Source organism: Homo sapiens, chromosome 9, assembly GCF_000001405.40.
Source record: "Homo sapiens chromosome 9, GRCh38.p14 Primary Assembly".
Classification (NCBI taxonomy): Eukaryota; Metazoa; Chordata; class Mammalia; order Primates; family Hominidae; genus Homo; species Homo sapiens.
In genome coordinates, this window is record NC_000009.12 from 38,424,537 (window position 1) to 38,451,377 (window position 26,841).

A 26,841-nucleotide genomic window follows, 5' to 3' on the forward strand; every position below is an offset into this window, starting at 1 on the left:
CGCCCGCAGACCGCTGCTCCAGCCCGGGACCCGCGCGGTGCCCGCGGCCCGGGTCTCCGAGCTGGAGGGTCGCCCCGAGAGCAGCTCTCCGACCTCCGATTGGACTCTTGAGGGAACCGAGACCCAGTCGGGGCGACAACTTGCCCGAGGTCGCTATGGCAGAGTCAGGATTGGATAACCGTACGGTCTCCGGATCCAAGGCTGGCTCCAGATAGTATGCCCGTAAATCCTCCCAGAAGGATGCGCTATTTTATTTAATTTTATTTTGCATTCAGTAGTTTTCAAAGTTTTATTTTATAAAGAGAATATATGGTTTAAAATGTAGATTTTACATATACATCTAAGGATGAAAAGAGGGTTACCCTACCACCTTGTATCCCCATCCTCCAACTCGGCTTCCAGAGGCCACTCTTGCTATCGGGTTTTTGTATATCTTTTCAGAAATTTTCTCTATGCCTATAAAAGTACATGTGCCTAAAAAAGCCCCTTCCTTTAAAACACACACACTCTGTTTCTCTCTCACACACACAGAGTAGCGTGCCATACACATTAGTCTGCACTTGGTTTTTGCACTTACAGTGTTTCACAGTTTCCCCACCTCTTGTCATCTGTGAAACTGGGTTTCTTATACAATCAATGGGAGCATAGTTCATTGGCTCTGTGAGTGTGTTTCTTAATGCTGCATAAAGTCATGGTACATCTCCGTCCACAGTGACTTTGTTGTGATGAGATATGGTGATATATTTTGGAGTTCATACAGAGTGGCCTTTCCACAGGGTTTAGTTGCAGTTATTTAACCACTTATTTTCCATCCTTTGGTTAATACGAATAATGCTTTGATGAAGTCTTGGTGCACAAGGGTCAGTGTACCTGTGGCTTACTGGGGAATGCATGTTGGAAAGATGCAGTTTCTTGTAGTCAGTTATTCATGCCGCCGTTGCGCCTTCTCTGGGCCAGGCTCTGTGCACACCATCCTGCCTGAGTTCTGGCAGGGCACCCAGACGAGAAACCTAAGAGAGTCTTGGCTGCTGGGATTTGATGTGTTGCTGGGTAAATGCACTGGATGGAGGGAGGGACTCGCTGAGCAGGTTTTATAGGAGACTTTTCCTGCCTTTACTGGCCACCCCTCATGTGTCTTGTGCTCTATTGTTTTTTCTTTGCTGAACTCCTGGAGATGGAGAAAGCCTCTTGCAGCCTGGGAAGACCAGCTACACCGTTCTTGGGTGGGGTTCATTTTGCTTTTCAAGCCCAGTTCCTTCCCAGTTTGCAGTCTTCTTATCCCCAGAAAGGAGCCTCTTCTGAGGCCACTTTATGTGGTGGTCAGAGGAGGGCCATCTGCCTGGTCCACGCCAGGCCTTACCTTACAATCAGCCACACAGAGCAGGGGCGGTTAGGCACCATGAAGGGGTGGTGGTAAGGAATAAATATAACAATGTTGGTAATGCACTCAGCGCAGCTCTCAGAACCTATCAACAGTGACTTTCAACCTGGAGGCTGCTGTCTTTACCAGGAGTGGCCTTTTAAAGTGCTCTCACCGCTTGACCCCTCTGTGCTCTTCCAGGAATCTCTCCTAAAAAAATGATCACTATGTGTGAAGATTTCATCCTGGAGTTGGTTACTATAGCAAAAAATAAATAAATAAATAAAATAAAAATAAAAAAAGTTAACGACCTAAATGCCCACCGAGAGGCAATCGTTAAATAAATTATGGTACATCTAACAATAGAGGATTATGCAGGCATTAACAATTAGAAAGAAAATATGGGTTAATAGAAATGAAAACATGTTTATAATACATTGTTTAGTAAAATAGCGGTTAAAAAGTGCACATCTAATGTAATGGCATATTTGTAAATATGTGAATGTGTAAACATGCAAAAATTTAAGATTGTTTTTAATGATGTGAAGGAAACCCTTTTTTTAAAAAAAAAAAAAAAAAGAGATGGTACCTCATTCTGCTGCCCAGGTTGGAGTGCAATGTCATGATCATAGCTCACTGCAGCCTCAAACTCCTGAGCCTCAAGCCGTCCTCCCCCACTCAGCCTCCTGAGTATCTAGGACTATAGGTGAGCACCACCACGCCTGGCTAATTTAAACAATTTTTTTTTTTCAGAGATGGGGTCTCACTATGAGAAGGAAACACTTATAATGTTAAATGAACAAAGCAGGATTTGCAAACAAAAGAGATAAGCGAACTCCATGCTGCTTTTCAGGGACAACTTTGCTGGTAAGTTCAGACTTTCTAATGGTTCATAGTTGTCCAAAGAGAGATCAGGCTGCTCCAGAGATAGTGAGGTCCTTGTCAAAGAAGGAGTTTAAGAATGAGTCTTGGCAAGGAGCATGGAGGGGGTCAGAAGTAGGGGTCAGGGGAGTTGACGTTTGATTACCTCAAACTGAGCCACCATTCCTGTAGTACAGTGCCCGACCCTGAGACCTGGACTGGACAAAACATGGTCATGATTGAGAAATAAATGTGTACAGAAATGATTTGCCTGCTTTTTATGCAGACATTAAAGGAGGAGTAAGTGAACGGTGTCATAATGAAATTAATGTGTGCTTAATGCAGGTTAGGATACACAATCTCACAGAGGCGCATTTACATATGATCTACATTCCTTTTAAATGGTAGGGAGAGTACTATGTATGCATAACGACTCTTTGAGAATTAAATCAGAAGACTCATTTTCCAACACTGAGCCTGTGGCATCAAAGCCCCTGTATCTGGGTGGAGAAAACATTCCCAAGCTTTGAAGGTGATCAGTCATGTCTATTTCCTTTTAAAATTGCCTGCAAGCCCATAGCCCAGCAGAGGCATTTGTGCTCTTTCATCTCTCTGGTTCCCAGAGTACCAGTTAACACTGTGGGCCACACCTGTGGGCCCCCTAAGATGATAGGAGAAAGTAGGGACAAATTCTCCCAGTCGGGAAGGGGGGTTGAGGTGCCTCTGTTGTCTGGCAGGTGGAGAGATCCCATGCACCTGGGTAAGTAATTAGGCAACAAGAATGGGTGTGATTTTCTTCCTCTTCAGCCTCCAGCCTGAAAACAAACACAACACAGGGAAGACTAGCCAATCCCCCATTCAGAGCAGATGTGTGCCCACCCGGCAGCTGCTGAAGTGGGTATGAATGTCCCATCCATTAATTCCTCCCTTGAACGTAGAGATAAATGGCAGATATTCTCTGTCCTTGGGGAGCTTCCAGCACAGAGGAAGAGAATAGAAGCTCAGTTGAGCAAAGGCCACTCCATAAATAGGCCATGGATTTGAACCTCAAGCTTTAATAGTCAGGGCAATCATAGATAGTCTTCTCCAAGCTAAAGGAAGGTGAAAGCCCTTTCTCCAGACCTCTGGTGGGCGATTACAGAGCAGAAGGCAAGGTGAATTTCTAGAGGGAAGTTCCATAAATGACAGATGGGATTTTTAGGGAGACAGATTTCACTTCAATATTGCATGCAAGGGGATGTAGCAAGATGTAGAACTCTGCAAAGATGGGAATTCAGATACTGAGCAGACGAAAAAGAATGGTAGAGGATTTGCTGTTCTGCTGTAAACCACTATATAACTTGGACAAATTAAAGAAAACAGCTATGGACAGGCACTGGACAGTGTTCTAATACAGGGCTGTGATCCTTGAGAGCGTCAGGGGGTACACAATGTGAGCCCCACATCTACCCAAGCATTCTCCCTGGGGACACTTTCCAGGCCACTCTGCAGGGAGGTGGAGGCCAAGTGGTCTCACTGGACAGAAGAGGTAGACATCAGAATTCAGGAGTAAGGCAGAGATTTGGGGATCTAGGACAGAAAATGAGGAACCACAGAGAGGGAATCCCACAAGTCTTAGACCTTTGGCTGACCCTGTACTGCACAAGTACAGGGCAAGACTTGAGGGAGGCTGCTGGGAGGTGAGAGCTGAGCAGAGATTTGGGGCTCACACAGTGCTGATAAGATTTTAGAGTTCAGGCCCACCCAGAATGAACTGCCCCAGCCCCCCTGGGGTTCTTTCTCCAAGCTCAGTGACACTAGCATCAGCCTAGTGGCACACCCTGCAGAGGTCTCAGTTTGAGCTCCAAGGACCCCTCTTATACGCATCTAAGTTTTAGTCATTCCAGCCATTTCCATTGTTCTCCTAGCCCTCATGGTGGTAGCTGCTTCACAGTTGCTACCTCCAAGTTGCCTAGTTAATAATTCCTCTTCTTCTTCTTTTTTTTGAGACAGGGTCTGGCTCTGTCGCCCAGGCTGGAATGCAGTAGCACGATATTGGTTTACTGCAACTTCTGCCTCTTGTGCTCAAACCATCCTCCTGCCTCAGCCTCCTGAGTAGCTGGGACTACAGGCATTTGCCACTATGCCTGGCTAAATTTTTGTATTTTTTTTGTAGAGACAGGGTTTTGCCATGTTGTCGATCCCAGTCTTGAACTCCTGAACTCAAGTGATCCGCCCACCTCAGCCTCCCAAAGTGCTCAGATTACAGGCATGAGCCACTGTGCCCAGCCAATAATTCTTTTTTTTTTTTTAATTATTATTTTTTGAGACGGAGTCTCACTCTGTCACCCAGGATGGAGTGCAGTGGCATTATCTTGGCTCACTGCGACCTCCACCTCCTGAGTTCAAGCGATTCTCCTGCCTCAGCCTCTCGAGTAGCTGGGACTACAGGTGCATGCTGTCACGCCCAGCTAATTTTTGTATTTTTAGTAGAGACAGGGTTTCGCCATGTTGGTCAGGCTGGTCTCGAACTCCTGACCTCAGGTGATCCACGTGCCTCGGCCTCCCAAAGTGCTGGGATTAGAGGCGTGAGCCACCATGCCTGGCCCAATAATTCTTTATATTACATTCCATTTGTAGGCTTGGCACAGTGGCTCATGCCTGTAATCCCTGTACCTCCCAAGGTTTGTGGGGAGGATTGTGTCAGGACTTCAACAGCCTGGGCAACATAGTGAGACCTCTTTTCTACTAGCAAAAACATGTAAAGTTTGCTGGGCATGGTGGTACATGCCTCCAGCTACCCAGGAGGCTGAGGTAGGGGGATCACTTGAGCCTTGAAGTTCAAGACTGCAGTGAGCTGTGATCAAGCCACTGCACTCCAGCCTGGGGAACAGAGCTGTTGCATGCCTGAAAAAGAAAAAAAGAGAAATGAATTCTATTTGTCATCTGACTAGGTAGGCCTGAGTGATCTAGCTAATAGAACCAGGAGTGGTCCCAGGAAACAACTGTCAAAGATGGGTCACAATCAGAGAACTAGAAAGCTTAACTATAAATATGCTTCAATAATCATACAAATTATTTATTTAAATGATAAATAAGAATACATTTCTTGCAGCTACAGGGTCAGTATTGCTGAAAATGACACAAAAAATGTAATTGTGTGTGTTGCATAATTATAAGTTGAATTCACAGGCTTTCCAGTCTCTTATGTGAAAGTTAGGGAATGAGAACCTGAGACTTGGAATGGAGAAATCTGGGTGGACTCAGATGAAGCTGAGAATCCTGAACCCTTGAGTCATTCTGAGCTTCCTTTGCCAATGGAAGCAGCTTGCCTGTCATGTCTGAGAAGACTCTCTTTCCCTTGCTTAAGGACCCTGTGTTAAGATCACCCAAGGCAGTTGCCTTGCAAGAGATACCTTTTCTCCTCAAAACCTAGGGCTTGTGGCCACTAGACTTTCAACTGACATCAGAACTCTATGTACTTGAGTAGGGCACATACAAGGTTTACCCTGGGAAGATTTAGCTTCTACACCAAAAAAATGGCAAGATTTTGATACATTACATTGTAGAAACCTGGAGAATATGTGCATGAATAGATTCTTAGGGTGTTAGACCAAGGAAGGCAGAATAGAACTTAGCATCAAGTCAAATTTATTGATACAGGTACACTGATCAGAGATTCTGGATTCAATGTGTTGATTTGTGCAGGGGGAAGGGGCTCTATAGTTTACTTAGCTGTTTGAGTGGAACTGGGACTCAATGGTGACCTATATTTAAAGACATTGAGGTGCCAGAACATCCTTGGTGTGTTGTAGGGGATGGGATAAGAAGGCTTAGGGAGATGTTGGAATAGATTTGTTATAGACAACTCGCACACTCACCCACCCAACCAACCACTACATTCTCCAAGGGGGCCCAGAGGACATTCCCTTCACTATGACATTGGGAAATTCATTAGCGAGGGGACCACTACTATCCTTGAAGACTTGGTGGTGGCTCTCCTCTATTGGCCACATATGAAGATAAGAGATGACACCACTGTGATGGGCTCCTTAATCCACTGGGAATCATGGGATCCCAGAATAGCAGAGGCCAAGTGGTAGCATCCAACTGCCAAGGGCAGAGCAGGGCACATACACTGTAATGGGCAGTAAAATGGAGTAAAATGGTGGACATCACTGTGTCTTGACTCACAGGAATCTTGTCATTGGCTAGTTGTCACAGTGTCCCTAGGACTGAAAGAGATGGGCATCTTACTAAAATGCTGTGTGCTTTATGTAACAGGGAAAACTCCATATCTGGTGTCTAGAAGCTGATTTCAATCACCACAGTGGACAGCCAGAATTTCTTGTCCATTTTCAGACCTAGTATTAACCCAGAGCCTCTTCTTTGAAAGGACGGCTGGGTCCCCTTAAAGAAGGACTCTTTACAAATGTATCCTATAAACCATCCTGTAAGCCCTCCCCAGAGGGACCTCTGACCGTTTACGAGAGTGAACCACCATAGCCCACAGTCAAAGTCGGGGAATACAGCACTCAGGGCCCAAGTTCAGATCACAGAGCACACATCCTGTGGTTACTTCCCCACTTCCTAAATAGAATAGATGCACTTGGCAACCAGCAAAATCCCAGCATCAGCTCTGTGACACAAAGTGGAAGGCCCTGGAACTTCCTTTCTGACCAGGAGGGTAAAATATCTGCTGCCAGTTTCCTCACAAATAATTGAAAGAGAATTCATCTTGCCAATGGGAGAATTCACTTTCTTAGAAGGCAGCACAGCCTAGTCTCATAGGAGGAAAGCACCTGCCCCCTTTTTCATGTCTTTGGCCTTTTTCCTTTCAAAATAATAATGTACCATTATTGTGCTAAGAGCACTTGATTGCTTTCTGATCCAGATCAACAAAAAATTACACAGCAAGTCCTTCTTTAACACCGTGGATAGGTTCTTGGAAACTGACTTTAAGTGAGACAACGTATAACAAAACCAATTTTACGTAGGCTCATTGATACAGACAAGAGGTTAAGTTCCTATGGCATATTTCTGGTTATAAAAACGTTACCAAACTTCTAAATAAAAACCCCAAATACTTCTAATCATAAACATTAAAATGAATGTGAACTATAGGTACATTTAAGAAAAATTAATAAGAACAAGATAATTATTACTCAGGGTTGCAAGAGCTGAACCCTATCTGAGCAGCTCAGAGCACAAGGCAGGAACTGACCCTGACCATCGCAGGGCACGCTCACACACACCCACAGTCACTCACACTGGGACCATGCAGACACGCCAGTTCCCCTCAGTGGTGCACATCTTCAGGCATCTCCTGGAGAAAACCCACACAGACATGAGGATAACGTGCAAACTCCACACAGACAGTGGTCCTGGCTGGAGGTGGTTTCCTTTTTTCTCATCAATGTTGTAAAAAAATCGCGTTGAATGTGACAACTTTATTCAAGGACCTGCTGTAGCTTCTTCCCCCACTTATTCTCAAATTTCTTCCATACCGGGGAGGGGTACAGGTCTCAGTTCATCTTGCCACATCACATCCCTAATCTGTAGATTCACTGATGCATTGACTCATTTGTTCTTCATCCAGCAAGCTCTCAGAAGGCTCGCTGTACACCTGGCCTGTGCTGGACACTGGGGAGTAGCTGAGGAAGCCATGCTCTGTGTGCTCAAGAAGGTGGCCCAGGTAGGGTGGATAGGGAAGCAATTTCAGCTCAATGAATGTTACTACTGAAGAGTATTCGGGGAAAAGAGAGTCAAGGAAAGCTCCTGGACAGAGCACTTCCTAAATTAAATTTCAGAGAGCCAGTAGGTTTTGGCCTGGAAGGATGATACAGAAGGGGAATCCACATGGAGGGAACAGTGTATGGGAAGGCATGAGGACCAGAGAGAGGACAGCACAGTCAAGAGCAGGAGCAAGCTCAGCACAGCTGTGGTGTTGTGTGGGGTGTGGAGACATAGGAGGGGAAACCTGAGACGTCAGTAAGAGCCAGACCATCAGTCTTTCCTGGCCAGCTGAGAAGCTTGGAAATAGTGCAACCTAGGCTTGGCCACAGTAGAGCAGGCCTGTATTGCTTTCTGACAGACAGAGACTTCACAAGTGGAGGGGAAGGGGACAGCACGTACCCACCAGGGGCCACAGGATGAGCCTTTTGGAAAGTCCTTCTGGTTCTCCTTTCCTGTGTCTCACAGGCTGGAGTGCAGTGGTGCAATCATAGCTCACTGGAGCCTTGAACTTCTGGACTCAAGCAATCCTCCCACCTTGGCCTCCCAAAGTGTTGGGATTACAGGCATGAGCCACTGCACCTGGCCCTTCCTGGGGCTTCTATCCAAATGTAAGGTTTGTGCTGGGACCACGTGTAGGAAATTGCCACCTTGTGGGTAATGCTGGAATTACAGATCTAGAAATGATGATGTTCCTTATTTCTGAATTCAGTATGTATTTGCTAATAATTACAAGCCACAGTGCTGGAATAAGGAGTCTATCAGGTGGAGAGAACAGAAATGCATACAGAAGTCAGTGAATGTTCAGAGGTATGCCTGAAGCAATAGGTTGGTGAGGGAGGTCATGGAAAGCTACAGAGATGACACCTGCACTGAGTCAGGTAAAAAGGGGTCTTTGGGGGCCATATTCACTTTCCATCCTGCAGCGCAGAATAGGAGAGGACTCACTCAAGGTCACACAGCTCTTCAGGGCAGAGCTGGGGCAAGCACCCAAGTTTCTCGGTATGTCAGCCCAGAGCTCTTTCTTATACATGGTTGGCCTTCAGTTTAAATGGGTCCCACTCCTGGTGCTCTAGAAATGGCCTTTGCAGAATCTGATCTTCCGCTCCTGCCTGTTCACAGGCCCCATCATGGTAACTGGTCACAGCCAGCTTTCTGATGCAGTAATCTCTTCCTTTGTGATCTGAATTCTGTCTGTGTGAAATTGCAAAACACAAACTCTCCCTAGGGTGAATACTGTGCTGAAGCCAGGATCTTGTCCTCCCTGGGAAGAAGAAACAAGGTGTGTCCCAAGAGCATTTATCCTCAGGGACTAGCATAGTCCTTGGTACATAAGTACTTTGAAATTTTTGTGATGTGAATGAATGAGTGAAGACAGGGGAGGTGGATAGGCCTGAGAGGTTAGTCCCAGCTCTCCTGTGGGCTTATCCAGAGTTGAGTTTTCTCTAGAATAGTCTGGAAAGATTAGTTGGGGATAGATTACAAAGGTCGCTGAATGCCCAGCTAAAAAGATTGTCTTTCTTCTACTAGCAGAGGGGAAGCAAACCTGTTAGAGAACAGGGAAGGAGCAGGATCAGAATATAGGTTGGTTTCATTCCTTGTCAAAGAGAGAAAAATAGTCCCAAGTCAAAACTCTATCTGTCCCAGAAAGCCATTGATATTACTTTGTGAACCCAAAAATATCGGAGACAGGTTTCAATCAGTTTAGAAAGTTTGTTTTGCCAGGGTTAAGGACACACTCGTGATACAGCCTGAGGAGGTGCTGACGACATGTGCCCAAGGTGGTCGGGGCACAGCTTGGTTTTATACATTTTAGGAAGAGATGAGACATCAATCAACATGTGTAAGAAGTACATTGGTTCTGTCTGGTGTGGTGGGACAAGCCAAAGTGGGGGCTTCTCGGTCATAGGTAGATAAGAGACAAATGGTTGCATTCTTTTGAGTGTCTGATTAGCCTTTCCCCGAATACACAGTTTACATGTGAGAGGAGGGTAGAGGAATAGTCACTTATCCCTTAGTCTGGCTCAGTGAATCTGCACTTTTACATAAACAATAGGGTAGAGGAAGCAATCAGATATGCATTTGTCTGGGGTGAACAAAGGGATAACTTTGAGTTCTGTCTGTCCTTTGTACTGCACGTGTGAAGATAAGCCATCAATTTACATAGCCAAGGTGAAATTCAACAGAACTGTTTTAGGGTAAAGACCCTGAGGCCCACAGAGAATTTCCTTGTGGGTAAATTATGAGAAAGGTATGTAGCTTTTTTTTTAAATTGAAGCTTTGTGGCTATCTTATTTAGAAATAAAATGGGAAGTAGATTTGCCTGACTTAGTTCCCAGCTTGACTTTTCCCTTTAGCTTAGTGAGGGTCTGAGACAGATTTTCCTTTCACAACTTAATGAAGAAATTGCACTAGGTCTTCTAGATATCTGAGTTTTTTTGTTTCTAAAGTTAGTAATTAAACCATATCTCTAGAGAATAACTAGAAGCTGGCCTGTGATAAGCTTACAACACTCAGGAAACAAGCACAACCTTTGTGATACACTGTTGAATTTCCTTCTGTGACATCACCCAGGCTGTGAACCCTGCTACATACAGGGCCCCAGTACAGTAACTCTTCCTAACCTGGGTCTGGTGCAGTCAGTAATCTCTTTCCTCACTCTCTGCCAACTGCAGCACCATTGCATTAACTCCTGGAAAAAAGTCGGTAGTGGAGTGCTATAGGGCTCTGTTCTCGTCAATGTTTTTATCGGTAACCTAGATGAACTCAGAGTATTCAAATGCCCCCAAAGAAATTAATATACGTTGGATAGGAAAAGCAATATTCAAAAAGGCTTGCATAGCTTAGCATGGTGAAGAGAAATCAAATGTTGAAATGTTCTGGAGATACATGTCAAGTTCTATGTTTGAGTTCAGCACAAAAATGAGAAAGCCCAAGAGAAGGGAAATGAAATCTATCATGCTGGTTTCAAAAGGGTCCAAGCCTGGAGCATGACAGCCCCTCAGAAGTAAATCTTTACTACTATGAACCAAATTTTCCGGAATTTAAGCATTTTAAAACCAATGTCCAGAATTTAAGCATTTTAAAGCCAATGTCTTAGCTTTTTATTTTCCCCCACTTTAAGATGGCTGCCTTCCCAGTGTCCCCAGAGTGGTTGGTGACAACTCAATAATGACTCTTCCTTAATGGTATGAAGAGAGGAATTGTAAGATTATGAGGAAACTTGCCACAATCATCCAAGAATTTAAAATATCCATTTGAAGTCTGGGAAGTGGAGCCAGGAAGCACGTTTTGGATGGGCACTCCTGGAAGAGAGCATCTCTGTGTGCCTAGAAGGAGAAGAGCTTTGCAATTCTTTTTTATGAACCATGTGACGAAGATGTACCAAGAACTGCTTCTATCAGTGAAGGAGACAGCCTGGTTTCAGAGGAAATGCATTTACAGTGATTCTTTGCTTTTAGACATTCAGCAAAAGAGGTATGTTGTACTCAATCTTTGTATTTCTCATTCTCTTTTTTCTTTCATCATTTTCATTTTGAGAATAAGTATGTATGGGGCCTCCCCTGTATCCCAGATATCATGCTGAATCAGATCTAGCTGTGGCTTCCAAGCCACTCTGGCCTAGAAGGGGGCTGTGACTTTGTGACTGTGTGCTCAGTACCTGGCACATAGTCGGCTCCCAATGATAGCCAATGTTCACTGAGTGCTTACTGTCTGTCAGGTACCCTGCTAAGTATTTTATATCTACTAGCTCATTTCAGCCCCACTGTCCATAAGGTGGTCATAGCTTATCTTAGATAAAACTGAGGCTCAGGGAGGTTAACAATGAAACTTGCTTGAAGTTACACAGCTGGTAAATGATGGAGTTGGCCCTCAAGTCCACACTTGGAACCACTGCACCTGACTATTTCTCCGTAAGTATGTGTTAAATGAACAAATAAACTTATGACATAAAAGGATGTAGGCCAAGTCCAGACAGAATATTGCATCACGGCAGATCAGAAGATACTTCATGCAGATTCTGCTTGAGGCAGGATTTAATGAACAAGAGTGATGCCGATCAGTAGAGGTGGGAGGAGCCACTCCAGGCAGGAGTGAAGAGGTCAGGGTTGGCAAACACAAATGGCCTGGGTTTGTCAGTTATGGTGTCTATTTACTGCCTCCATGACTGTCTCCTACTCCGCCATGGCTGATTCAATCAGGGGTGTTATGGACTGAACTGTATCTCCCTCCCGAATTCCTGTGTTGAAGCCCTAACTCTCAGTACCTTAGAATGTAACTGTATTTGGAGATAGGACATTTAAAGAGGTAATTACATCAAAATGAAGCTTTATCCTTAAAATAAAGGATGGACCATGTGGTGCTTGCAAGTCCTCTACATTCTGTGCTGTGTCTGCTATGGTAACACCAGCTGCTAAAACAAATAAGCCCCACTCTTCACCCGCTTATTACAATAGAACTTTGCTTCTTGCTCATGCACTAGTCTGTGAGAGGACAGCCTGTGTAGAGGACAGTTTTGTCTGCAGGGTGATTCATGGACCCAGATGCCTTCCATCCTGTGATTCTATATCCTTCAGAGCCTTAGAGTCCAACCAACAGATGGGGAAGGAGAAGGTGGGAAAGACACGCTTGTTCCTTGGCCATCTTGGCCTAGAAGTGACACACATCACTTTGGCTCACACTCCATGGGTGAGACCTAGTCCATGTCTGTCCCTAGATGCTGGGGTGGCTGGGAAGTATGGCCTGGGATGAAAAGATCCTTACTTTATAGAAAGGGAGCAGGAACACCTGGTGGACAGCTAGCGTGTCCTGCCATGTGGTTGGAATTCAGTTCTGAACTTGTCTCCGGCCTGTTCTCCTCGCGAATGGGCTGCTTTGTTTCCAAGAGAATCTGGAAGCCCGTGGTCCTAGTGTGTTGCCTTAAGGCAGAGTCCTAGTTTATTTCCGGTAATAATTTTTACAGCTAACCAAAGGGGCCATGGCTGCTGGGCGAAGCTCTGACAGCTCAGGGGGATGGTGCCCACAGCAGGAGCTTGAAAGGGTCCACAAGAGCCCAGGAGAGAGGAAATAGGAGTGTAAGTCCTACATTTGCAGCATGAGAAGGGGAGGAAGAGCTGAATAGTCAGCAGTGTTCTGGAATGAGGAAGTGGGCTGCCTGCTTGCTTTCATTTCTTAGGTAAATATTTGCTGGAAGTTTGCCTTTTCTCTGAGTTTTTCAGTGCTGTGACGAGAACTGGGCAGAACATCAGCTCATCAGAAGCAGTGACATCCAAGAGCCCAGAGGAGCCTGAAGAACAATTGAGAGAAGCCTCCTTTGCCAACGCGTTGCCCACCAGGGCTGCACGTGGTACCCTTGCTCCAAGATGCTTCCCAAAAACACCAGGTAAGCTTTAAGAGGCAGATCTGAGACAAGTCATGCTGGATAGCGGCATGTTCCTAGCAACTGTCTTCTTTGATGCTGGTGTTTAATGAAAACCAGGAGAAAGGCATGTTTTAGCTAATTTGTAGACAGGCTGGCATGGAGGAAATGACATAGATAGGTTACTTGGTCAGCGAATAGATTTCCTTTCATCTTCAGTTCAGAGACAGAGTGGAGTGGGCAGAGCCCAGATGTGTTGTTAGGGGGCCTGGGTTCAAATCCTGGAGTTTCCTCATCTCTGAATCAGGGGTGATACCCCCTGCCTTACCTAAACCACAGCTTTGTGAAGATCATATGAGAACAAGAATGTGAAAGGATTCGAGATCTGTAAAGTCTTGCCCCGATGGCAGGAATTAAGAATTCTTATTCTAACCTTCAAATGTTTTAGATCCAAGAACTGAAAGCCTACTCCAAAATATAACAAAAAATCCAACCATCACTTCTGGCGTCACAATATCTGTTTTGAACTGTGGGGGATCAAAGAGGGAAATGAGCCAAGAAAACACCAACAGGGGTGGGACTGTAAACTAGTTCAACCATTGTGGAAGTCAGTGTGGCGATTCCTCAGGGATCTAGAACTAGAAATACCATTTGACCCAGCCATCCCATTACTGGGTATAGACCCAAAGGATTATAAATCATGCTGCTATAAAGACACATGTACACGTATGTTTACAGCGGCACTATTCACAATAGCAAAGACTTGGAACCAACCTAAATGTCCAACAATGATAGACTGGATTAAGAAAATGTGGCACATATACACCACGGAATACTGTGCAGCCATAAAAAATGATGAGTTCATGTCCTTTGTAGGGACATGGATGAAACTGGAAACCATCATTCTCAGCAAACTATCACAAGGACAAAAAACCAAACACCGCATGTTCTCACTCATAGGTGGGAACTGAACAATGAGAACACATGGACACAGGAAGGGGAATATCACACTCTGGGGACTGTTGTGGGGTGCGGGGAGTGGGGAGGAATAGCATTAGGAGATATACCTAATGTAAATGATGAGTTAATGGGTGCAGCACACCAACGTGGCACATGTATACATATGTAACAAACCTGCATGTTGTGCACATGTACCCTAAAACTTAAAGTATAATAATAATAATAAAATTTAAAAAAAAAAGAAAACACCAACAGGGATAATAAGAGTCACTTGGGAAAGGAGATTCCCAGAATCCCACCCACGGGAAGAAGGAGGGAGCCTGAGTGCAGTGGATGGAAAAGACCTGAGGCTGGAAACAGACCAGAGGGACGGCTTGCAAGACCAGTGGACAGGGAGCACAGGAGGCAGCCAGAGGTGGGCAAAGACTGGAACTGGAAGGTCTGAGAGCATTTTTCCTTTCCTCCCTGTCTCCAGCTGGCCCCTTGGGCTGGGAGAAGGGAAAGGCTAAGAGGAGGATTTTTAGGAAGATCCCTCTGGTCACAGGATGGAAAATGGTTAGGAGGTAGGAGCCCAAGCAGGAGGCTACTGAGATAGTCCAGACAAAGGGGACAGTGGCCTAGACGAAGGTGGTGGCTGTCAGGTTGGAGAGATGTGTCTGGATTTGGCAGGGATTGGAGAGGAAGGAGTGGAGGATGACTTTGGGTCCCTGACTTGGATGAATGGGTTGGGGGTGGTGCCACTCCTGAGATGAGGATGCCAGGGGAGGAGCAGGAAGTTGGGGTGTTCAGATGGGGCATGTTCGACTGGGGTGCCCATGGGACATCCAGAGACAGATAACCAGGAGGCTGACAATTGGCCTTGTGGTCTGGAATTAGAGGGAAAGTCCAGGATGGACCCAGAGCATGTGGCTTACCTTTTGGTGCCAGCTGTGCCCCTTGGACCCTTGATGTTCCTTTGAAGTCAGCACCATGCCCCTGAGAGCTTCTACCCATCCTTCTCAGGGCCCCCTCTCCATCACGGTCCTCTTCCTGGGTATGGTTCAGCTGGTCAGGGTCCTTCTCACAGGGCAGGGCCCAGCCTGAGCATGTAGTTCAGATTTGTCTACCAGTGAGGGGTGGGGGAGGGGTGTCACTGTCCCCACTAAGGACCCCAGACATGAAACCTTTATCAATGTCTTAATGTCATTGTAGTGCCTGAATATGTTTCCTCTTTGGAAAATATAAGAAGGGTTCAAACTCCAGCTCTGCCAGCCTCTAGCTAAGTGACTTTGGGCTTTTACTTAACCTCTCTGAAGCCTCAGTTTTCTCATCCGTGAAGTGGGAATACATGTTACACAGGTTGTGAAGGGTTAAATGAGACAATAACTATAAGAACCTTATCCAAATGCCCAGCACACAGCACACATTCAATAAACAATGGCTATTATTATTGTTATTTTTATTAAGTGAAAAGAAATGAAAAAGAGTATGGCTTTATTAGACAGTTAAGAAAGAAAGGAGGTAGAAAAGAAAAGTTTTTGTCTTCTTCAACAACCAATTTTTTTTGTGGTAGCACTCTCTGAACTTTTCAGACATGCATGAAAATACCCTCCATGCACATTTTCTAATGTCCGGGGTACCAGCCAGAGCTGACCATTCCTAGCCAGCCATACAGCAAGGTCAAAATGAATGGAGAAGTCAAGGCAAACACAACGAGAACAGAGATTTGGACATACAGAGAAGAAAGAGAGAGGCTCTGGGAGAAAATGAAATAAAAATGGGATGTTTATGTGTGGGCTTGATTGCAGAACTTTTCCTTGATTCTCAGAAGGTCACAGAAAGTGGCAGACATAGAGACAAGCCAACACACAAAGAGAGAAAGGCAGCGGGGCCGCATGTGACACTCTGAGGTGCTGTCAGAGGCAGGCCTGCAGGGGAAAAGGAGAAACCGGGAAACAACCAGAAAGACAGTCAGCAAACTTATGTGGGTTTATGGTAGTCATGGACTTCCTCTTATTTTATTTTAAAAATTTAAGCTTTTTATTATGGAAATATGCAAACCCATGCAAAAGAAAAGGGAATAGTATCATGAACTGCCAGCTTCAACAACTGTCAACACATGGCCAATCTTGTTTCATTGATACTCCCCCATCCCCTCCTCCTCTCCTAGGCAGCCTATTATTTCATCACAGTTTTCATTTTTGTGTTTTTGTTTGAGACAGAGCCTCACTCGTCACCCAGGCTGGAGTGCAGTGGTGCAATCACAGCTCACTGCAGCCTTGGTCTCCCTGGCCCAGGTGATCCCCCCACCTCAGCCTCCTGAATAGCTGGGACCATAGACATGCACCTCTAAGCCCAGCTAAGCCTTTTATTTTTTGTAGAGATGGGGGTCTCCTTGTGTTTCCTTGGTTGGTCTCGAACTCCTAGGCTCAAGCGATCCTCCCCCGTCAGCCTCCCAAAGTGCTGGGATTATAGGCTCGAGCCACCACCCTGCCTGGATTTCATTTTTGAAAAGAATTCTGCTTTCTCCAGGGAATTCTTAAAGTGGTGTACAAGTGATCTGATACAGAAGTTTGTTCTCAAACCTACACAAGCCCCTGCCATTCTCTCATCTTGATTCTGAGAGAGCCCAGACTGCCCTGGCCATAGGAGCTGAAAATTATATTGAAATCAAAACTCGGCAGTCAGAGAGTTCTTTTACGATCATCCAGATTGTTAGCATTCAATGCCTGGCTCCCCAACTTGCTAGCTGTGTAAGTTTGGACAACATTCTAGATCTTTCAGTGCCTCAGTTTCCTCATCTGTGAAATGGGGTGATAATGTACCTTTCCCATAGGGCTGTTGTGAGGATGAAACGAGGTGGTAAACATACTAAATGTTTAAAACAAAGCTTGGCACATAGTAGACCCTCGAGGGATGTTAGCTTTCCATCCACCCGTTTAGGAAACATGAGTGAGTGCCAACTGTTGCCAGAGGTATGGGCAGGAGCTGGGTACAGGGAGCTAAATGAGAAGGGCCTCTGCCCTCGAAGAGCTCCCCATCCAGTGGGGTACACAGGCCTATGAAAAGTTAGCTCCAAACAGTAGACAGGTGGCTGTGAAACTGGGCCGTGTCCCAAGCAGTCCATCCCATCCCCTCAATTCAGAAGTGAGCAAACAGAGACCTATGGGGCCCCTGAGCCTAAGGAGCCACAGTGCTTAGCAGCAGAGCTGGGATGGACTCAAAGTGGATTTTCCTGACTGGGCCTCTTCACATGAGGGCTTCAAAGGAGGTCGGTGGCTCAGGAGGGCACCTGGCCCATGCTAGGCAAAGGTGCTGGGCTTTGGGTCAGTCTTTCTGCAGTAGGGAAGGGTAAGATTGGTCATGGGGCCAGGCATGGGCAGCCGCTCTGGCTCCTGGTTAACCAGGTGGGGACTGCAATTCACTGCACGGTCAGGGGCCCAAAGGTAGTGGAGTCCTTGGCACTTTCAGCCCTAGCAGAAGGCCAGGGATGCCAGCTCGGCTGAGCACAGCCATGCATGGCACTGGACTGGGGCTGGGGGATGGAAGGCAGAGCCTGTGGGGAATGGGAGAGGTCGCCACTGTTTACCAGATGCTCTGGGGACAGAGGAGCAGACAGGGTCCAGGCTCCGAGGGGGTAGAAACGCAACCACTGGCAGTCCCCTTTCAGTTCTGTGAAAGGAAAAACACCTTTCTTTTGTCAGAGCTGTCCAAAAGCGGGGAAAAGATTGAGAAAAGAAGCACTGCTCTTTGGGCATGAGGCCAGGCACTCGACTCTCATAGTATCTCATCCACACAGAGCCCTGGAAGGGGGACACTGGATCCATTTTCAGGATGAGAAGAGTAAGACCCAGAGAGGGGCACAGCTTGCCCACAGTCACACAGCTGGCGCGTGGTGGAGCTGGGACTCACTCTCATGGTCTTCCTGGCTCCAAAGCCCACGCTTTTCCACTGAGCCTGGCTCACTTAGCAAGATGGCAGGGTCGGCCTGGGAGGTACAGGGTTCCTACCCCTGACAGTGCCCAAATGGAGCTTCAGGGCTGCCCTGTGGGGAGGGAGAGTGACAGAGAGTGCAGAGGCATTCACACTTCCCGTGGGTGGGTGCTAGTCTGTGATTCCACTACTTCGAGTGGATGAGGGGCCAGGAGACAGCTCAGCCATATGCAGGCCAAGTACACACAGTGCAGAGTGTATGTCTCCCTGGCACCTGCCCTTCCTGCATTCTCTCCTTCCTTCCTTCCTTCCTTCCTTCACTCACTCATTCATTCAGCAAGCACTTACTTGGATTTATTATGTACCTTGTCTGAAGTCCAGAAGCTCAGGGTAGGGGTTGGGTAAGGGACGGCTGGAATTCACAGTTGAATAAAACGTGTTTCTAGCTTTTGAAAACCTCACAACTGGAAAGCGAGAGATGAGATGTGAAAGGCGTCCCTATAGCATGAAGAAGATGTGATGAGTGCTAGAGAGGACCCTCAGCCAAGTTCAGTGGGGCTGGGAGAGGAGAAGTGGGAGGGAGGAGGGAATGACTTTGGGTCAGGGAGGAGCGAGGAGGAGGGCCCAGAGAGGCGATAAGGTCTGAGCTAAAGTTTCCACCTGACCTCATTTGCTGTTTACACATCTGAGCAGGTCGCGGGTGTTCAGGATCCTGCAGTGTGAAGACACATATTTGCAGAATGCGTCAGAGGCCTTCATGGACAGACGGCCCCCTAGCATCATCTGATAGTCAAGTTTGTTTGTGTTTTCTTTTTCCAAACACTTGGTTGCAACCCATTTGTGGGTTGTAAAATCAATTTAGTGTTTATGACCAGCATTGTACAAAATGAGTGGGACAGAGTACAAATGACTTGAACCAAATTAGGACTACCAAAGGGCACTGAGCATGATAAGGGTATTGTTTTGTGAAAAGTCATTAAACATGCATGCACAGAAATTTGTTAAACATGCATGTGTGCACACACGCATCTCAACTGGGTCATAATTGTAACTATGAGTCGTGTGTTATATATGTAACACATACAATTGTGACTGGTAGTTAAAAAATTTTGTCTGGTCCAATGTCCTCATTTTACAAAGTAGGGAAAAAGGATTTGTGCAATGCAGAGCATAGAGAGAAGAGCATAGGGTGGGGCACTGGCTTTCTCTTGAGTTCTTTTATTTACCCTTGTTGTCTTTCCTCTAAAGCATAGTTAATGTTGACCTTGGTCCTAGAAACTCTGACATCTTCATTATTTTAGGAAATGCCAGAGCCGAGGTCACTTGTGCCCAGTGGTATGCTGGGAAATGTATCAGAACTGGCTCTTGAAAAAGTATGCATATGTATATATAAGCTTATTATAAATTATACTGATATAATACATTTTACATAATTGACAAATAAAACATGTACAATATCTTTATTGCAAATTCCATTCAGCCAATTAATTCTCATAGAGTGCTTTCCTTAATTTCTGCTGAATTCATCTGTAGCCAAGCTATGATTGCAATTGCTGAGTAAACATAGTTTCGACATGATTATTGGTTGATATTTTTATTTATGTTAAGGAGTAAGACAAATGGGAAACAACAAAGACTAGATGTAAGTCAGGACTTGTTTGTTGATTGTCAGGAGCTACTTTGCTGAGTGGGGTAAACGTTTTTGAATTCTGGAAGAATATTTTCTCAATTATTTCTGCTATGCACTCTGTAATAGCTACAAACATGTTTTTAAATCTGCATTATTAACATTTTCTCTGTCACTTTACAGGCAATCTACAAAACAATAAATCAAGCCCTGATTTTGTAGTGTTTGCCTATTGCCATGATATAAACGCTCCCACCATGGCTGATGTCAAGCGAGGTGATGTCACTGAATATGGAGTTGGAAAGCGATGCACAACAGCACATCATAACAGTGTTTACATGATACAGATGCAATAGATGTAAATAATCCCAAGAGCATAGATGATAGTAAAAGGTAGCAAAACAATAGGGAAGTGATGCGTTTTGTTGTTTAGAGACAGGGTCTCACTGTGTTGCCCAGGCTGGTGTCAAACTCCTGGGCTCAAGAAATCGTCCTGCCTCAGCCTCCCGAGTATCTGGGACTATCGGTGCCCACCACTGTGCCCAGCTTGAAGAGATGAGTTTTGAGTCTTTTTTTATCTTTGTTTTTAGTATAACTTATTTAATTATAGGTTTATATAATTTAATTTTTAAAAACAATGGTGGTGCTTCACAACTGGCTTGCAGAATTCCTTAGAGCATGACAATTGGTTCTTCCAATTTGGCACAAGCCAGCCTCACCACCTCTACATCTACCTCAGACCTCCAAGGCAGGATTCTGGGGAATGAACTAGGGGATTCATGGGATTCACAAAGGCAGGGCAGGGCTGGTGCAGAATCAGACATCCCAAAGTACACATGGCTGCATTGCAGAAGGCATCACATGGATGCACACTCACACGCACTCTGCACACACCCCTTCCTCCTTCCCTAACCCACTCTGCACTGAGAAGTGGGAACCGTTTCTTCTGTGCCCACAAGGTGGTCAGCGCCCTGCTCAATGAGCACAATGAGGGACCTCAAAAGTCCTGGGCAGCTGATGCTTCTGATCTCTGCTCTCTGGGCCTCAGTTCCCTGGCAGAGAGTCCCATGGAATTAATCACCATTCCCTGAGCCTGTTTGGCAGGCACTGGACTGGTCTCTGAGGTGAGAGGTGAGTTGGCCACAGCCTGGAAAGCCAGGAAACTCTGGAGCTCCAAGAAGCCACCTGAGTGAGCCAAGGACTGGGACAGAGGAAGGGGACGTGAAGGGGAGCCTGACTCCCACACTTGCTTCCTCCTGGGTAAATCATCACACCTCGCCTGGCTTCAGTTCCTCATTTTAAAAAGGGGCTGATACAACCTACCTCGTAAGATTCTAGTAAAGGTTGAGTTAGGTAATATAAAATAGCAGAGTACCTGGGACATAGGGACACAATAAAGTGACACCAATCAGTGAAAGCTACTATCATAGGTTTAACTTACTACTACAGAGTGATCATGTTAGGACCAAAAAAAGCAGAAGGATGTGGGAGACGCCACCCCGCCCCTGCCGGCAAAGACGATCAGTGGCACATGTTGGAGAATGGAGGGAGGAATATAGATAACTGTGTTCTAGATGCAGCATGTAGGTGTATGTCACTCTTCAGATTGACCCTCATTGTATTTATCCTTTAAAATAAAAATTTAATTGACACATTGTAATTCTACATATTTACGGAACACAATTTGATGTTTTGGTTTATGCATGTGCTGTACAATGATCAAATCTGGATAGTTAGTATACCTATTGTCTTACACATTTATCATTTATTTATGTTGAGAACATTAAAAACCTCTGCTTCAGCTATTTTGTAGTATACAATACCTTACTGTTAGCTAGAGTTACCCTACTGTGCAATAGAACACCAGAATTTATTAATCTTATTTAATTATCACTTCATACCCATTCACCAACTTCTCCCCATTCTTCCTTCTCCCATTCCCTCCCTGGTTTTTGGTAACTACTGTTCTACTTCTGTATCACCTTTTTAAAAGATTCTGCATCTGAGTAAGATCATTTGGTATTTGTCTTTCTGTGTCTGGCTTATTTCACTTAACATAATGTCCTCCGGGCTCGTGCATGTTGTTGCAAATGATAGGATTGCATTCTTTTTTATGGCTCAATAGTATTCCACTGTGTATGCACCACAATTTCTTTATCCATTCATTTGTTGTTGAACACATGGGTTGATTCTGTACCTTGGCTATTGTGAATAGTGCTGCAGTAAACATGGGAGTGCAAATACCTCTTTGATATACTGATTTCATTTTCTTTGGATAAATACCCATACTGGGGGTTGCTGGATTATATGGTAGTTCTAGTTTCAATTTTTTTGAGGAACTTCTATACTGTTTTCCATAATGGCTGTACTAATTTACATTCCCACCAAAAGTGTGTAAATGTTGCCTTTTCTTCACATCCTCACCAACACTTGTTTTGTCTTTTTGAATAGCCATTCTAACTGTAGTGAGGTGGTATCTCATTGTGGTTTTGATTTGCATTTTCCCTAATGATTAGTGATGTTGAAATTTTTCATGTTGGCCATTTGTATGTCTTCTTTTGAGAAATGGCTATTAAGGTCTTTAGCCCATTTTTTAGTTGGGTTAAATAACTAGTTGTGCTGTTGAGTTGTTTAAGTTGCTTATATATTCTGGGTATTAACTCCTTGTCAGATAGTTTGCAAATCTTTTATCCCATTCTGTAGGTTGTCTTGTCACTCTGTCAGCTCTTTCCTTCACTGCACAAAAGCTTTTTATTTGGTATAATCCCGTTTGTCATTTTTGCTTTTGTTGCCTGTGCTTTTGAGGGCTTACTTTAAAAATCCTTGCCCAGCCCAAATATCATCAAGCATTTCCCTGATGTTCTCATAGTTTCGTAGTTTTAAGTTTTACATTTAAGTCTTTAATCCATTTTGATTTGATTTTTGTATGTGGTGAGAGGTAGTGGGGGTGTCTCATTTTTCTGCATTTGGATATCCAATTTTTCCAGCCCCATTTATTGAAAAGAGTGTCCTTTCCCCAATGTGTGTTCATGGCACCTTTGTGAAAAATCAGTTAGTTGTAGATTTATGAATTCATTTCTGGGCTCTCTGTTCTGTGCCATTGTTCTACATGCCTCTTTTTATGCCAATACCATGCTGTTTGGGTTAGTATAGCTTTGTATTAATAGTATATTTTAAAGTCAAATAGTGTGATGCCTCCAGGTTTATTCAGGATTGCTTTGGCTATTTGGAGATTTTTGTGATTCCATATACATGTTAGAATTGTTTTTTACATTTCTGTGAAGAATATTATTGGTGTTTTGATAGGGATTGCATTAAATCTATAGATTGCTTTGGGTATTTTATAGCTATTTTAACAACATTAATTCTTTCAGTGTATGAACATGGACCATCTTTCTATTTATTTGTGTCCTCTTTAATTTCTTTTATCAATGTTTTATAGTTTCCAGTGTAGAGATCTTTCACCTCTTTGGTTAAGTTTATTCCTAGGGGGTTTTTTGTTTGTTTGTTTTTTCTTTCTTTCTTTTTTCCTTCCTTCCGTTCCTTCCCTCCCTCCCTCCATCCATCAGTCCCTCCCTTCTTCCCTCTCTCCCTCCCTCCCTCCCTTCCCTCCCTCCCTCACTCCCTCCCTTCCCTCCCTCCCCCCCTCCTTCTTTCCTTCCTTCCTTCCTTCCTTGTATAGCAATGATATTTTTATATTTTGATTTGGCCTTCTGACACCTTATTGAATTCATTTCCTAGTTCTAATAGTTTTTTGTCAAGTCTTTAAGACTTTCTAGATATAAGATTATGTCATCTGCAAATAGAAACGATTTGACTTCCTCATTTCCAATATGAATGCCTTTTATTTTTTTTTCTTGCTTAATTATTCTGGTCAGGACTTCCAGTACTATGTTGAATAGAAGTGGTGAAAGTGGGCATCCTTGTCTTATTCCTGAACTTAGAGAAAAATCTTTCAGCTTTCCCCCATTCAGTATTATGTTAGCTGTGGGTTTGTCATACATGGCCTTTATTGGATCGAGGTACATGTATTCTATGCCTACTTTGTTGAGAGTTTTTATTTTGAAGGGATACTGAATTTTGTCAAATGCTTTTTCAGCATTTAATGAAGTGATCATGTGGTTTTCGTCTTTCTTTCTGTTAATGTGGTGTATCACATGTATTGAAATGCATTTATTGAACTATCTTTGCATCCCTGGGATGAACCTCACTTGATGATAGTGAATGATATTTTTAATGTGCTATTGAATTTGGTTTGTCAATACCTTGTTGAGAATTTTTGCATCTATGTTTATCAGAGATATTGGCCTGTAGTTTTGTTCTATTGTGTGCCCTCATCTGGTTTTGGAATCAGCATAATGCTGGCCTTGTAAAATGCATTTGGAACTATTCCCCTTTCCTCAATTTTCTGGAATAGTTTGAGAAGAATTGATATTAGCTATTCTTTAAATGTCTGATGGAATTTAGCAGCAGAGCCATTGGCTCAAGGACTTTTTGTGATGAAAGACTTTTTATTACTGATTCAATTTTCTCACTTGTTTTTCTCTATTCAGGTTTTCTATTTCTTCATAATTTAACCTTCAGGTGTTATATGTGTCTAGGCATTTATCCTTTTCTTTTATGTTTTCAAATTTGTTTGCTTATAGTTGTGATTCATGAGTCTCTTATGATCCTTTGTATTTCTGTGATGTCAGTTGTAATGTATCCTTTTTCATCTCTGACTTTATTTGCATCTTCTCTCTTTGTTGTTAGTCTAGCTAAAGGTTTGTTGATTTTATCTTTTCAGAAAAAAGAACTCTTTTTTGCTAAGTTTTTAAAAATGGCTTTTTTTTTGGCCTGGTGTGGTGGCTCATGCCTGTAATCCCATCACATTGGGAAGCTGAGGCAGGTGGATCACCTGAGGTCAGGAGTTGGAGACCAGCCTGGGCAACATGGTGAAACCCTGTCTGTACTAAAAATACAAAAATTAGTTGGGCATGGTGGTGGAAGCCTATAATTCCAGCTACTGGGGAGGCTGAGGCATGAGGATCACTTGAACCTGGAAGGCAGAGGTTGCAGTGAGCTGAGATCACACCACTGCACTCCAGCCTGGGTGACAGAGCAAGACTCCATCTCAAAAAAAATAAAAAAATAAAAAATAAATGAAGTAAAAATTGCTTTTCTTGGCCTTGTTTCATTTATTTCTGACCTCGACTTTATTACTTACTTATTTCTAACAATTTGGGGTTTGGTTTGTTTCTGTTTTTCTAGTTCCTTGAGGTGTGTCATTAGGTTATTGGAAATCTTTCTTCTTTTTTGATGTAGGTATTTATGGCTGTACACTTCCCCCTTAGAACTGCTTTTGCTGTGTCCCATTGGTTTTGATACAATGTGTTTCCACTCTTATTTTTCCTCAATAAATTTTAAAATTCCCTCTTTAATTTCTTCATTGACCTAGTGGTTATTTGGGAGCATGTTGTTTAATTTCCATACATTTGTACTTCTGTTGTAGTGTTCCTTCTGTTATTGATTTCTAGTTTTTATACCATTGTGGTCAATAAAAAAATTCTTGAAATGATTTCAGCATCTTGCATTTGTTAAGACCTATTCTGTGGCCTAATACATGATCTATCCTGGAGAATGTTCCATGTGCAGTTGAGAAGAATGTGTATTCTGCAGTGCTGGGTGGAATGTTCTGTACGTCTGTTAAGTCCATTTGGACTATGAGCAGTTTAAGTCTGCTGTTTCTTGTTTTTTGTTTGTTTGTTGTTGTTTTTTGTTTGTTTGTTTTATAGAGACAGGGCATGTGCCACCGAGATCAACTAACTTTTAAAAATTTTTATAGAGAAGGAGTCTTGCTATGTTGCCCAGGCTAATCTTGAACTCCTGGCCTCAAGTGATCCTCCTGCATTGGACTGCCAAAGCATTGGGATTATAGGCATAAGCCACCATGCCTGGCCTAAGTCTAATGTTTCTTTCATGATTTGCTGTCTAGATGATCTGTCCGTTGTTGAAAGGGGGATGCTGAAGTACCCTACTGTTATTGTATTAACAATCTGTCTCTCCTTTTAGAGCTAATAATATTCATTTATGTTAGGGTGCTTCATGATATAGTATTCATAATATTATATATTCATCATATATTAGGGTGCTTCAGTGTTGAGTGTATATGTATTTACAGTTGTTAATCCACTTGTTGGATTGATTCCTTTGTCATTAGATAATGACCTCCTTTGTTGCTTTTTATAGTTTTTTACTTAAAATCTATTTTATCTGATAAAATGTCTAGCTCTTTTATCCTTTCAGGAGTATGAGTACTCCTGCTCACTTTTGGTATCTGTTTGCATGAAATATCTTTTTCCATTCCTTTACTTTCAGTCTATGCTTGTCTACCAGTGAGGCTAGTCTCTTGTAGGGAGCATATAGTTGGGTCTTGTTTTTAAATCCATTCAGGAGCTCACTTTAAATTGGAGAATTTAATCCATTTATATTCACGGTTATTATTGATAAGTAGGATGTACTCCTGCCATTTGATTGTTTTCTGGCTGTTTGGTAGATTCTTTTTTCTTCCTCTCTTACTGCTTACCTTTGGTTCAGTGGTTTTCTGTGGTATTAAGCATTGTTTACTTTCTTTTTCTTGTTTGTGTGTCTGTTTTAATTTCTTTTTTTTGTAGTTATTATGGGGCTAACACAGAGTCTTGTAGTTATAATAGACAACTTTAAGCTGATAATAATTTAACTTTGGTTGCATAAAAATGCTCCATACTATTGTTCTCCTTCCACAATTTATATTTTCATTGCCTTAATTTATATCTTTATTGCATGTTCCTTAGCCACTAATTGTAGCTCTTATTGACCATTTTGACTTTTACTTTTCATACTAAAGCAATGAAAGATTTACATAGCACCATTATAACACTGGGGTAGTATCAGTTTGATTATGAATGTACCTCTACTGGTTATTGATTTTTAGCTTCCAGTTGCAGCACTCCTTTAAGCATTTCTGGTAAGGCTGGTCTAGTGGTAATAAATCCCCCCAGTTTTTGCTTGTCTGGGAAGGTCTTTATTTCT

General features: G+C 43.6%; 1 long non-coding RNA gene across 4 annotated transcripts in view, besides 2 other annotated features; it reads left to right on the top strand.

Moving 5' to 3' along the window:
* The first annotated feature begins 74 nt into the window (after positions 1-74).
* Positions 75-26,841, top strand: part of LOC105376041 (uncharacterized) — a 52,879-nt gene continuing 26,112 nt past the window's right edge. For 3 of the 4 annotated variants that reach the window (XR_007061486.1, XR_007061487.1, XR_007061485.1), the window contains exons 1-4: positions 75-214; positions 2,114-2,227; positions 11,058-11,410; positions 13,153-13,316. This is a non-coding gene — a long non-coding RNA (uncharacterized LOC105376041). Of the gene's footprint in view, positions 215-2,113; positions 2,228-8,600; positions 9,216-11,057; positions 11,411-13,152; positions 13,317-26,841 lie in introns of those variants that run through there. The other variant, XR_007061484.1, reaches the window with a different exon arrangement.
* Positions 963-5,242: an enhancer, noted in NCBI's record as "VISTA enhancer hs1390". NCBI's record gives its function as "enhancer in: limb[6/6] | tail[5/6]" and the evidence as "EXISTENCE:transgenic organism evidence [ECO:0001131][PMID:17130149]".
* Positions 18,656-18,950: an enhancer, noted in NCBI's record as "tiled region #10144; HepG2 Activating DNase matched - State 5:Enh". NCBI's record gives its function as "activates a minimal TATA promoter and a strong SV40 promoter by Sharpr-MPRA in HepG2 cells {active_cell/tissue: HepG2}" and the evidence as "EXISTENCE:reporter gene assay evidence [ECO:0000049][PMID:27701403]".